The 14,459-nt window shown below is 41.1% G+C and overlaps 1 long non-coding RNA gene across 1 annotated transcript in view, besides 1 other annotated feature; it reads right to left on the minus strand.

Moving 5' to 3' along the window:
• LOC105375268 (uncharacterized) overlaps positions 1-13,490 on the minus strand; it is a 79,190-nt gene extending 65,700 nt beyond the window's left edge. Inside the window, exons 1-2 of the long non-coding RNA XR_927249.1 lie at positions 13,447-13,490; positions 12,758-12,834 (exon numbers count right to left, since the gene is read on the minus strand). This is a non-coding gene — a long non-coding RNA (uncharacterized LOC105375268). The remainder of the gene's footprint in view (positions 1-12,757; positions 12,835-13,446) is intronic.
• Positions 8,599-8,799: a silencer, noted in NCBI's record as "peak6510 fragment used in MPRA reporter construct". NCBI's record gives its function as "represses an SCP1 promoter by STARR-seq MPRAs in K562 erythroleukemia cells {active_cell/tissue: K562}" and the evidence as "EXISTENCE:reporter gene assay evidence [ECO:0000049][PMID:32103011]".
• Positions 13,491-14,459: the final 969 nt, after the last annotated feature.

The following is a 14,459-nucleotide window of genomic DNA, read 5'->3' on the forward strand; positions in this document are numbered from 1 at the left end:
ATTTTCTATCCTGACATCATGTTCAAATCCAGAGTCCCAACATAATGACTTTTTACCTCTTTTCCTTCTGTCTTTTGACTTTGCCTCTGTCTTCATCTCCTCCTTATCTCTTTCCAGTGATATACTTCTTAGAAATTTAATTTCCCCATTACACCAAATTCCTGGGCTGAGGATGTTCCTGATCAGCACTCTTGGCGATGGGGATGGGTTAGTCTTGGTCATGGATCCGTCAGCCTCAAAAGTGAGCATGAGCTTCAGTACTTCCGGAAGCAACAGGGGACTTGTCCCTGAAGTATTCTCCCCTAGTATTCAAGTCCTGGATACTTTGAAGTCTGACACATGGACTTCACAGGTACGGGGACCTTGTAATTGAAGGCAAAGGGAGAGGAGGAAACATGCTTTTCTGCCCCTGTTCTCCTCTTCCTCTTTTGTCTTCCTATGTTTTACCCCCACTACACTTCCTGACTGCTACCCCTTTCTATAACATTCCTACATGGAAATAATGCTTCCCTTGCCTACCTTTGCACTACACTAGGAGGCAAGGGAGGGTTAGAAATATGCCTCGATCATCCAGTTGTCCTCAGGCTTCAGCACTGAGCACAGACCTTGATGATAAGCACCACAACATGTGCTTAAGGATTTTTTGTTCACTTGAAAACGATGCCTTGACAAAATTTAAGGATTTCTGCAAGATTAAAAATACTGCCAGGCATGAAGTCAAGCTCACAACGCGGTGCCAGATTAGAGAAGAAGAGCAGTCTTCTGAGCATGCAAACCACAGGGCTGCACACAGAGCCCAGCTTACCCTTCTTACCCTTCCATGGTCCAGCCCCTGCATGAATGGGGACCCTCCCTGCCTGTGCCTCGAGCCGCTTGCAGGGCCAAGTGGCTGTGGGATTTAACACTCATAGAGCACTCTTTATACAAAGGGGCCTTTTACTTAACAACTCCTGGAAGCTGCTCGGGGGCCCCATAAAACTCCTTGCACAAAGGAAGAAACTGAGAAAGAGGATGAGTAACATGTCACAATCACACTGCTGATAAGGGGTTGATCACAAATTCAAGCTCTGGCCATCTGGCTCCTGTGACTATGCTGTCAGCCACTATTCTAGGGGGTGTCATAAATCCACCAACTCACAGCCCCAGGAGTGGAGCTTCGAGCTCCCCTGGCCTCACTCGCCTCAGCACTGCTGAGCGAGGAGATCAAGATCTTAATTGATCCAGGCACTTAATTAACTCTTCTGTTACTTGCCTTTCAAGACAGGCTTACAGATGGAATGACTGCACTATTATTACCAGCTGACCCATTCTATAAGACAAGGGCAGGCCCGAGGTCATTTCCCATCTCATGCCCCTTGCTGTACACGTCACACATTCTTTGTCCAGAGAAGGTTATGAGAGTAAATCAGAATAGGATTTATAAATAGTAATAAATAAGTAAATGAAATATCTTTAAAATATTAGGATGTTCACCTAGAAGCAAAACTATTTTAACTTTTATTTATAGAATAAGTTAATCTAGAAAAAAACAATATGGAAAAATGGCTGATCTATCAGAAAGTTTAAAAAATATATTTGAAAATTTTTTCTATTTTTTCTAGATTGTCTATGAAACGAGAAAATTAAATTACATATAACTCTTCTGAAATTCGTTAACCCCCCTGCAACTGAGTTAGATGGAAGGAAAGAACCCTTGAGCACTTCACAGCTCATGCTGTGTAAGGATCTCAATGTGTAAATAAATTCCCGACAAACCCTCATATCAGCAATCAAGTCTTTGTTCACATATCAATAAACTGAAGTGTACAATTGAGTTTGCACTCCACATATAAACCGTATCCAGGACACAATTAACAAAATAACAAGAAGTAAACCATAGAGTTCTTGAAGTGTTTAAGAATTACAGGAACTTCCTAAGAAAGAAACAAAAATATTATGCTTTGTAAAACATCACTAAAAGTTGCTTTTAGAGTTGTTTTGTTTGGTGCGTAAATGTGATAATATTTTAATTCTGAAGACGTTGGCTCAAATCCTAAGTGTGACTGAGTTGCAAAATTTTTAATGAAGAGGTTCTGCATAAGGCTGCCTACCCTGTACCTGTGAGAACCACAATGAAAATGGGGAGAGAGGGTGCATGCAGCTCATAGGTGCTGGGCGCTTACTACAGGCCAACCGTTGAAAACTTGTCCCCACATAAGTAAGTCAAAAGAAATGTCTTGGTTGCACTATTTACATTAACGTCAATATGAACAAGAAGGCAGAGATCATGAGTATGGGGATTAGGCACTCCCTAAAGCATCCTGTCTTGCTCCCGCTTCTTTAGCATGGTAAGCATTTGTGCCAGGACTGCTGGAGTTTTTGTTTTGAGTGATTTTAACAAGCACTCCATGAGGCATACTTTTTTTCATTCATCAACTCATGTTGAGTACCAGCGGGTGTTGTGCACAGTGCGCTTATAAATAAGCTGGTGCTCAAAGACCTTGTATGATCTTCTGAAGGTCACACAGCTAGCGGAGCAATGAGAAACTGATCTCAGATGGTATTGACTGACTGTGTCTCCCTCCTCAATTTCGTATGCGGAAATCCTAACCCCCAATATGATTGCATTAGGAGGTGAGGCTTTTGGGAGGTGATTAGGTCATTAGGATGGAGCCCGACTAATGGTATTAGCACCTTTATAAAAGGGGCCCCAGAAAGCCCTCTCACCTTCTTTCCACCACATAAGGACACAGCCAGAAGATGGCAGTCTACAAAGTGGAAGAAAACCCTCACCAGAAACCGACCCTGCGGACTCCCTGATCTCGGATTTCCAGCCTCCAGAACTGTGAGAAACAAACATCTGTGGTTTATAAGCCACCCTGTCTAGATTACTTTATTACAACAGCTTGAACTGGTTGAGATCATCTGACTTCAAATTATGTGCTCTTTAGGCTACTACAGAGAACCGTTAAGCAATGTCAACTTTAAATGAGTGCATGTGATAGAAGTCATTGATCATGGTATTAGGAAAAGCTGCTCAAGAAGCTGTGAAAGACTCTGGTACCCCCAAAAAGGTCTCCCTGGCATGTAGGATTGGGCAGCACAGGAAGCCATTCAAGAAGACAAGGCTTTCTGGGAGGGATGACCCCCTTGCCGGAGTCTCTGCTGACCAATATGCACAGGCATTGCTTTCCATTATGGCATTTCCAATCCGCAAAGCTTCCCCTGCCTTTGCCCGACCTCGGCCCATGTTCAGCAGTGATGCGCCATGAGAAAACAATGGCCTTGCCCAGGAAATTTCTGGTCGCGACCCTTAGGGAGAGTTGTGAAAAGCTGTCTGACCACAGTGGTTTTCTATGGCAAGTAAAAACTAGAATGCTGTGGAAAATGCCAAGAGAAGAAATCCAGAAAAAGTTGCAGACAGAACTTCTGACTTAGGGGAAAAATATTGGGAATTGCCAACAACATATCTGGGAAATGGGCCACTTAGTTTGAAGCCTCAGACACAACAAATGCCTGGGAGAACTTAGACCAACCCCATGAAACAGGACCAGATCGTTCACACGGGAACAAGCCTGCGGCCACCGCTCCTGGGAGCTGTGCTTACTCGTGGCAACATCAGGGAAACATTCTGCACGATTCAGAAAGGCTTGGAAGGAAACTTCACTACGATCAAGAATGTACTGTTCTTTGAGCTATTTCCTTTAACAACTTGGAAGAAATAATAATTAATATAAACAGTAGCCACTGGACTGGGCTGGATGCAGGAGAAACGAGGGCAGGTTTTGCAGTCAAAAGATTCAGCTTCATGCACCAGTTTTCCTCAACTGTTCTCTATGAACAAGTCATTAATGAACAAGTCATTAAAGCTCTCTCAGCCTCAGTTTTCTCATCTGTAACATAAGCAGATACTTGCATTGCAGGGCTATGAATCAGCTTAAATTCCCTATGGGTATAGAAATAATGCTTGTGCTTCCTCATTATTCTAAATAGCTTTATAATTTGCAATTATATGATTCTCAAAGACCTAGAAGAAATAATAATCGAAACTAAGAAGGGGGACCAAGGAGAAATTTCTAGTCTCCAAAGTGATTTTAGTCACTAGGAGTTCAAAACATTAAATTCACCTATATTTTTTAAAAACATAAAAACTCTTCCATAATATAACATCAAAAAACACTTATTTTTCCAAGCAAACTTAACCCTGATATCAAACTATAACCAATGTAGACCAGAAAGGAAAACCTGTAGAACCAGTCTCACAAAATAGTGATTGAGATGCTAAATTAATAGTAAATAGAATTCAAACGTCAAGACTAGGAACAAAATGACATTTTGCCTAACACAAAGAAGAATACCCATTTCAAAGCCGTTGCTCTTAACTTGGAAACATTAGATGATTCTCACTAATGTGAAGAATATGACAGAAAGAGAGACATGCCCAATGCCACCATGATGATTCAACACTGTTGAGGAAGTTATTGTCATATAGTGGGACATTAAATATCAATGTTTGACTGGAAAAAAATAAAACAATTTATCTGTATATTTGATTATATAGATAAAAATACAAAGATAAGAACTGAAAACATTTTGGGGACAGATCAGAATCACAGGAAACAGCAGCAATGACAAGTTCTTGGATTTCCTGGAGGCCCCCTAAGAACACATCCAGTGGGACTCGACAGCAAACCTAAAAACCACAGACTATGTGCCCAGCAAAACAGATAAGCCCTGACACAGAAGCAGGAGAGGACACTGCCCAACATAGCAAAGCCCTGAGCCAGGGAAACAAGAGAGGAGAGGGGGTTCTTGAAGGGCCTGGGAAGCAGAGAACCCACCATCTATCAGTTTCTCTTTGGAGAAACGGGGTGCAGGCCTGCCAAGAGCAGTCCAAAGGAATGAGGTTCCCTGCTCGGATATGTGGGTGAAATGAGAGACGTCCCTACCATTCAGATGGGCTACTGCAGTCCCTGCCTGTGAATCCTGCAATCTCACAAATCAGTGACACTCAGGACAATGCCAGAAGACACTGAGCCAAGGCCTCTGGGAGTAGGAGCCCAGTGGAGCCCAGCAGGGAAAGTGGCGGACAAGAAAGTCTAGATTAAAACAAAATTGACTAGCACTGAATGATCATGAAAATGGAGAGGAGAGTACAGAGTGCTCTGAGCTCTAGCAACTCTCATAAACGGGGGGCTCATGGGAGGGCTCCGGGAAGGTCAAACTGGCTCTCAGATGCCTTGTGGCATTCACTGAGAATAAAAGGAAGGGAGCCAAGACGCGAGGAGGTAGAAGCACTAGTTATTTTCAACACTGTTCATAGTAGAAAATTATAGTCATCCCCAGATAAACCATGACAGAGAGAGCTCAGAGATAGCAGACCCACCTAGAAGGAACACTAAATGAAGTCCTTCAAGTGAAAAGGAAAGGACCCCAGAAAGACAGCAGTCCAAACCACAAACAGAAGAAGTGCACCATCAGGAGTTATGCAGGTACATCCAACGGACTGAAAAAATGTATAGATTTTTTTCTCTTCATAAGTATGTGCTTTAGAAAGCATAAGATTGCTTAAAATATTCCTAATGATTATTACATGGTATTGTTGGGTTTATAACACATAGGTGTATTGTATATACATCTATCACTATAATAGAGCATTGAGGGAAAGGAAATGGAATGCATTGAGCATCCTCATTCAGCATAGAGCACATCAGATGCAGACTCTCACAGCCGCACGTGGCAGAAGGCAGCAGTAGCAGATGTCACTGCCCTAGCATCAGTACACCACCAAGAGCAGCAGCAAGAACAGAAGCCAAGCCAGTGCCCCTGAGCCCCAAGAGGCAAGTAGGCATCTCCCACGATTGGAAAGCTTTTCCTTTTAGCCAAAAACATATGGCAGGCATTAAATGAGAAGTGACTGATAGCAGGTACCACCCTCTTATTATTGACAATTTGTCCACATTTGAATTACTGTAGCAACTGTTGATGTTTCCCAGATATAAGAAGCTAATAGCATCTCAGAATGATTGCACAAGCTTGGGGTTGTCAGGCACATACCTGGACCACAACAGAAGCTGATCTCTGGTTCACACAGGAAAAGGGCTCCCACAGGGCCTCAAGGAGGGCCAGGGTATCGAGGCCCTCTTCTTATCATGAGGTATTCATTGATTCGGCCTGGGCTGACCATATTGTGCAGATAAACATTTAAGACTCAAGATCATGGGGTTCCACTGAGGTCATTCTTTTCTTTCTTTCTTTCTTTCTTTCTTTCTTTCTTTCTTTCTTTCTTTCTTTCTTCTTTCTCTTTCTTCTTTTTTTCTTCCTTCCTTCCTTTCTTCCTTTCTTTCTTTCTTTCTATTTTTCTTGTCTTCATTAAGTCTTAAATTAAACCCTCTTCCAATTGTGGTTATGGGTAGACATGTGGGCCCAGAGGTTGCTTCGTGATGCCTAAATCATAAGTTCAGAAAGAGCCTGATCTTTTTTTTTTTTTTTTTTTAAGATGGAGTTTCGCTCTTGTCACCCAGTCTGCAGTGCAATGGTGCAATCTCGGCTCACTGCAACCTCCGCCTCCTCAGTTAAAGCAATTGTCCTGCCTCAGCCTCCCTAGTAGCTAGGATTACAGACATGCCCCACCACGCCCAGCTAATTTTTTGTATTTTTAGCAGAGATAGGGTTTTGCCATGTTGGCCAGGCTGGTCTCAAACTCCTAACCTCAGGTGATCTGCCCACCTCGGCCTCCCAAATTGCTGGGATTACAGGCATGAGCCACTGCACCTGGCCAAGAGCCTGACCTTTACCTGGGCCATGCAGGGACCCACAATGAGGCCCAAGATCTCCCCGGTAAAGAGCCTGATCTTTACGGGGGGGATCCTGGGCCTTGCTGTGTGTTCCTATTTTTAGTTTCGTTATGATGCCAGGCATCATAAAGTACATGAAATGGACATATCTTCATTGAAAGATTTGTAAAAATTTGGTTATTTTTTATTTTGGTCTTTTGGTTCTGTTTCACTTAAAATCCAATAAAAATGATACTAAAGTCTAGTTTGATATTTTATGCTCCCCCAAGTGTTTTCCTTGATAGCTCATGGGAAGCATGTTCTGTGGTATGGCACACCGGCCGCTCCTGACACTCAGTGCTGGGGAGGGGCTGCTGTGTCGGGGGCTGCCTCATCCTCTCTTCTCCACCACCCCTGACACTTGCAGACACAGGGAAGTCACAGGCTCCCTGATTCCCCTGGGGTGTCACCGAGGCCCAGCATGGGTAACGTACGTGGATCTATAAGTCAAGTGGCAGATCGTGTTGTTTCTACTCTCAGTCCAGCACTTGTCTTCCCTCTCACATTTAAACTGAGCATTTGATTTGAGAGGTTACACAATTTTAAAACTTATCTGAAGACATAGACAAAGTCTCATAAATATTTTCTCCTATTTTTAATTGGCAAATTAAAAGTTTAGATTTTCTTTTTAGTTCTATGACTGCCATGGACGAAAAGTGCCCTCACATCCTGAGAGAGTTAACTTGCCTTGCTGATCAGGAAACCACCTGCAGTGGGCTTGCGGCAGATGAGAAACTGGCTTTGATCCCCACAGAGGGCTGCCTTACTACATGCAAATGTTGGATGTTGGCAGGATACTGGGCTTGGAGCATGGGCAGGATCTTGGAACCCTAACTCTGAGATCTGTGGAGCCCCTAACTTCCTGACTCCATACTCAGTGATCTAACAGCCTGACCTGGGCAGCTTTGGGGAAAGTACTAGAGGACTTCACGCTCTGAAGAATAAGGTAAGCATGCAATGTCCTTTCTTCTGCCTGAGGAATGAATATTGCCAGATGTGACGGATTCACCCAAAGGCAGCTTCTTCAACTAGTCTTCTTGGAAAAAGAAAGATATGACTGTAGGTGAGCTATTTCTTCAATTAAGACTTAAAAAAATAAACAGTCTGAATTAGTGCATTTTAATGGAAACTGGTAGATTCTATTATTTGGGCAGAGTGATAATTGGCATCATATTGTAGGAAAGTAAAAAGGCATCACTCAAGTTCATTTTCAAACATGAAAAACCAGGTTAATTTGTCAACGGCATAATGCTTAGCCACTTAGAGATTCAGATTGCAGCTCCTGCATTTTATGGTCATTTTACTTTAATTAAAAACTGAATATGAGAGGATAGAACAATTTTCCTTGGATTTTTTCCTATCTGGTGTTAGCTTCCCAATCACTGGCTCTGTGCTAATGTGGCTGATTCCAGGCCTGTTGACCACCAATGCACCTCTGATATCTCTCCTCATCTGTAAAGTGGACATTCTATTAGAACCTACTTCACAAGGGTGCTCTAAAAATTAAATTGAAGAACTACATGATGAACATTTGCTGAGGGCTTGCACACCATAAGCAGTTGCCAAATTTCAGTCCTCATTCTCTCCTCTCTACACTCCTGGCACTTAAAGACACAGGGAAGTCAGAGGCTCTCTGGTTCTCCTGGGGAGTCACCAAGGCCCAGCGTGGGTGAAGGACTTGCTAACAGCCACCTGAAGCCCACACTTTATCTCCTATGCTCTGTGATCAGGCCTCTTGCAATGATATTACAGCTGCTTTGTATGCCCTCCCCCACACACACACAAAAAATTGTTTGAGAAAAGACAGAGGCAACTTTGTATGACTCTAATCTTTGCTCCACTTAAAAATCCCAGCTAGTCTCTGTGTGTTAAGATAAACTCTCCTGGAAGGCGTCTGAAGGAAAAGCAAATATTTTGACCATTAAAAGAACCTCTAAATAACAAATGTCAAAGACAGGGCATGTGTTAGGCAACTTCACTTATCTCAGGGTTTGCAGGCTACTTTGCTTCACTTTTTCAGTCTGTTTGTAAGTGATTATATTATAGGAATCTTTGACAATAAGATTTGGTCAGCTAAGAGGCAATAATAAGATGCATATGAAAGTCTCCCTTAAATAGAATTGATGTCTGGCTAAAATTAACTGCAATGTTTTAAATGTGTCTTCTGTTGGAACCTTTATACAGGGTAGGTTGTGTAAAGGAAAGGGCAGTTTAGTGTGGGAGAAGCCTATTTTAAGGACAATATTCTGCAGGTAATTTGAGATAGTCCTGAGCATGTTTACCATCTTCATCACTCAGGTCTATATTTTCAGAGGGTTTTGGCTGCCTCGTATAAACAGCTATTGAAATTTTAAATGAATATTTATAGAATTCAGCTTAATTGCCTACTTAGAATGATAGAATTTAGTCATTCCACAAAGATAATGAGGGTTTAATGTACTGCAGGAATTGACCACATTAATTCATTCAAGCCATTCTCTGAACACTTCCTCGCTCCTGCTATGTGCCAGGCATTCCTCTATGAATTGGAAGATGCCCAACAGAATAATCTATGTCCCTGATACCTGAATCTAATTTTAATATAAGCTGTAGCTAAGAGTTTTTAAATGTGTACTATGTGTGAGGCACTGTGCTAATTTATTTCTCAACACATCCCTGTGAAGTTGATGTATATGTTTTTCTGTATTACAGATAAGGAAACTGAGTCACAAAGTGTTTGTCTCCTGGCCCTCATCACCCAGCTCATGATTGGGTTATACTTTTAGGCTGCCTTGAATGTCAACACCACAACAGGAAGTGCAGAGGTGAGCACTTCCATCTACACTTCTCATGTATTTCTTAGAAAACATAGATGCCAATTAACGTCATGTCATCTGTCCTAGATGAGTTACAGTACGTTGGTATGATTTCTGTGCATTTTCTAAGATTTTTGCCACTTCCTAGTTGTTTATGTTATTTAGTTCCAATTTCATTTTTTAAAAAACTGGAGTTTTACCTACTTTTGTCTCGCAGGTGGTGGCGCTTCTCTTTTGCCCACCAAAAAAAAAAAAGAAGGAGAGAGAGGGGAAAGACAGAAAGAGAGGGAGAGAGATACAGAAAGAGAGAGAGGGAGAGAATGAGCACACACACTTAAACCTGAGTACTAGATATCCCTGTGTTTTTTGTTCCTTTCCTCACATCAAGAATGGAATGTCTCTTGGGCTACTATGGTGCTTAATCCTCTTCTATCCCTCATTTCATTACTGTCTACGTCCAAATCTGTATTTATTTATTATGCAGGTCAGGATATAGATAATTTTATTTTGCTTTCTCCTTTTAAACCAGGCCCTATGGGCTTTGTCTTTCATTTATAAAATGGCACATCAAAGCACTATGATGAACACATGGATTTCTATTTCAAAGTGGAAGGAAGTCTGCCAAGGAGGATGGAAGCACCAATAATTAGTTACATGTCAAACAGAATTTGTGTTGTTCTGGTTCCACTGAGGTAAATATTAATCCCCACCTTAGACTCAGTGCCTTGCCCAGGATCCAGCCAGGAGGAGGGAAAGGCAAGACCTGAGTCCACATATTCCCACTCCTAGCACAGGCCTCCTTACAGCTCCTCCTCCCCACTAAGATGCCCATCTTTGAGTGTACAAAAAACAGAATGAATAATGGTGCAAATCCACAAAACACATAGAAACAGAAATAAAAATGCAATTTATAAATGCTAAGAAAAAGGAAATACTTAGGTGTAAACCTAGCAAACATGTACGGGACTAGTAGGTTGAAAACTACAAAATGCTGATGAAATAAATCAAAAAAAACCTAAATGAATGAAGACCATACCATGTTCATGGATTGGAAAATTCAGTATAGTAAAGATGAAAATTCCCCCAAAATCAGCTTATAGTCTTAATGCAATTTCTATTAAAATCTTTGCAAAGTGTTTTATACATATAGACAAGTTTATTCTAAAATGTATATGGGCCAGGCACGGTGGCTCACACCTGTAATCCCAGCACTTTTGGAGGCCGAGGCAGGTGGATCACAAATTCAAGAGATCAAGACCATCCTGACCAACATGGTGAAACCCCATCTCTACTAAAAACACAAAAATTAGCTGGGCATGGTGGCACACTCCTGTAGTCCCAGCTACTTGGGAGGCTAAGGCAGGAGAATCTCTTTAACCAGGGAGGTAGAGGTTGCAGGGAGCCAAGATCGTGCCATTGCACTCCAGCCTGGCAACAGAGTAAGACTCCGGCAAAAAAACAAAAAAAACACACACAAAAAAAACCTGTATATGAACAGGTACAGACCCTGAAAGTTAAAACAATCTTGACAAAGAATAATAAAGTGAAGGAAGCTTTCTTCCTGATATTAAGGTTTATCATACCATTACATAATCAAGACAGTGTGGTATTGGTAGCGGAATTAACACAGATCAATAGAACATGATGTTCAACATCATTAGCTTTTGGAAAATGCAAATCAAAATCACAAAGATATATCACTACACACCCATTAGGATGGCTATAATTAAAAAGATGGATTATGACAAGTATTAGTGAGGATATAGAGAAACTGAAGCTCTTAAACATTGCTGGTGGGAATAAAAAATGGTGCAACCACAAGGAAAAAGAGTTTACAATTTTTTTTAAACATTAAACATAAATTTAGGATCTAGCAATTGTACTCCACACCAAAAAGAAATGAAAACATGAACACACAAAACTTGTATGCAAACAATCAGAGTAGCATTAGTCATAATAGCTAAAAAGGGAAACAATCCAAATGTCCATTAACTGGTGAATAGATAAACAAAATAAGATAAGGTATATCCATTCAATGAAATGTAATGGAATACTATTTAACAACAAAATAGAAATGGGTTACTGATGCCTGTAACAACATGGATGATCCTCTAAAACATTTTGCTAGATGTCAAACACAAAACCACATGTTATATAATTCTTTTTACAACAAATGACAAGAAAAGGTGAATAGAGATATACTGTCACCAAGCACAGGGTTTATTTATAAGGTATCAGAAGTACTATAAAATAGTTGTGTTTAGATTGTTCTGATGGTTGCACAACTCCATGAATTCACTAAAATCATCACGTTGTACACTTGGATGTACAAAATGGGTGAATTTTTTGGCAAGTAAATTATGTCTCAACAAATCTATTTTTTAAATCAACTTATTACAGTTTTCTGTCAAAAGGTAGTACAATATCTTGAGGAAAAAGTGCCTTTTCTAATTCTCAGAAGGGTTGGATGAATCATTGGAATGTGAGGGTGAAAGAGTCAGTTAAGAACCAGATCACGAAGGGCCCTGTTGGCCACATTGTATCATATGGGCTTCCTTCTTCAGGCCATGGGAAACAATTCATGGTTTTTAGGCCAAGGATGGGCCTGATGAGAGCATTGATTTAAAAAACTAATTTGAGCATACATACAAACACGAAGGATGGATTCAAAGATAAATTTAGAAATGTAAGCCCCATAAAAAATGGTTTATTATAAATTATTGACAATGCATCTAATATGCACACAAGCACACACACAGACACATGCACACACACACACACACACACACACACACACACACACTACCCTAACACTTTTTTTAGTTTCTGAAAGTTCACTGGATTGCTGGATTTGAAGCCAAAGGACATACAATTGAATCTTCTCCTTCTATGATTACCAGCTGCAGGGCCTTGGAAATGTTCCTCAATCTTACTGTAAAATGAAGATAAGAGTTGTGCATTTGTGGAGAGAATATCAGATCATGAAAAACAGAGGTTTTAAGTAGAAGCGTCCTTCCATGTATGTCCCCTACATCTTGTGCTTCTGTCCTGGCATGCCTCATCTCAAAGGTCAGTGTCTTCCTGCCCCAGGCTGATCCTTACACAGCTTCTGTGTCCTTGGGACTTTGACCCTACCCAACCACTCACCCGTCTCACTTTGTCAACAGTTACTTCCTTGCTTCTGGTGCATCCCCTCAAGATATGAAAATGTTCAAAATAGCCACCTTAAAAAAATAAAATAAATAAAGCTGTTAAACACTTCTATTAACCTTAGTTGTTGTCTAGTGATTCAACTTCTTTTGCTTCAGAGAAAAGCTTTACATTAACTCTTCATGACCTCACTCCTCACCCAGCTCTCCACCTACTGCATCTTTTTCTCCACTTCTCCAATGAAATGATCCTTACTTGGTGAAACATGACTCTTTCCCTTTCTGGGTCTGGTTTCCCAGCTACCCCTTCCACCTCTGAGCTACCTGAGATTTTGCATCCAATTCCGTTGATGCTTGTAACTTAGGGGATCAAGAAAACCAAACTGACCCATTATTCCCTCGGCCTTTGAAAGTGTCTTCCCTTATTTTTCTCTTATTTCCTAGACTGTTTCTTGACAGATTTTTAGGGATGCTCCAATTTTCCTGCTTACTCCTAAGTCTACAACTTCCACCCACTTCTTAGTCTGAGCTATTTTCTTTCATGCTTTCCTCTCCAGATTTGCCTACAAATACCACCCCATGTTAGAGGTTCCTCATTTCTGATCTCCAAAACAGAGATCAGTAAGTCCTACCCCCGCTGCACTTTCAACTCTATGTTTTCTCACATTATTTTATTTCCCAGCATACCTGATCTTCATATATTTTCTGCAGCTGATATTCCTTGATTCCTGCAACAAATTCTAAGTTCCAACTGTGAGCCAAGCATTATGATGGAACAAGGGCCCCAAGGGTTGACAAAACTGTCCTTGTTCTCCAAGCACTTCACTGTGCAACAGACCATGAACCAGGGATCTAGACAGGATCACTGCCTGACCCAATCAGCCTTCCATTGAGTTGAGTCAACGTAGCACTCTCAGGATCTCTCAAATTTGCCCTTTTCCTATTTTCTTTCTACCTTCACCCTAGTTCAAGCACGTCTCGTTTTTTGGTCGATACTGCAATATGAATGCTCCTCCTTCATAAAATGCATGTCCTAAAATGCATTGGCCTATTTGAAATTCTACAAATTCTACAGCTAGATCTTCCATCACTCTCAGGATAAACTTAAAGTTCTTTGGCATGATAGTCAATATTTTATGATGCTTCTTGGCATGGAAATCCTCTCCAAATGTACTGTGTTCCTTGGATACCAGGGTCCCAAACATCCCTGAACTTGCCTTACTCCATGGTCTCAAATCCCTGTGCATTTGTACCTGCCCTTCTTCTAATATCCTCACCTCTTCCTCTTTCCTCACTTATCTAATGCCTACTGTTCTTTGAAACTCAGTCCTTGAGTTCTATTTGGGAGCTTCCCCAAACCCTGGGCAGTTGGTAGTTTTGTGTTTTAGACATATCATGCCTTTCAAATGCAGCACTATCTGCTACGTCTGTCTTACACACCATCATTGGAGCTACTTAAGGAGAGAGACATTGAATCTCCTGCCTGCAGCCTGGGGTCCGGCACGTAGGAGATACACAAGAAGAGTGGGCTAAGTCAGAGGACTGATTATTCGTATAAAAGGGCTTTTTGAAATCTAAATCTTGAAGGTAAAGAAAGTAAAATTATCAGATAAGTTTATGCTGTCCATCTATGTAAGAAATCTTAAAAATGTAGTTAATCTTAGTTGCAACATGATTTTTCCTTCTGTTTAAAGACATGA

This window comes from Homo sapiens, chromosome 7 (assembly GCF_000001405.40).
Source record: "Homo sapiens chromosome 7, GRCh38.p14 Primary Assembly".
In the NCBI taxonomy this organism is placed as follows: Eukaryota; Metazoa; Chordata; class Mammalia; order Primates; family Hominidae; genus Homo; species Homo sapiens.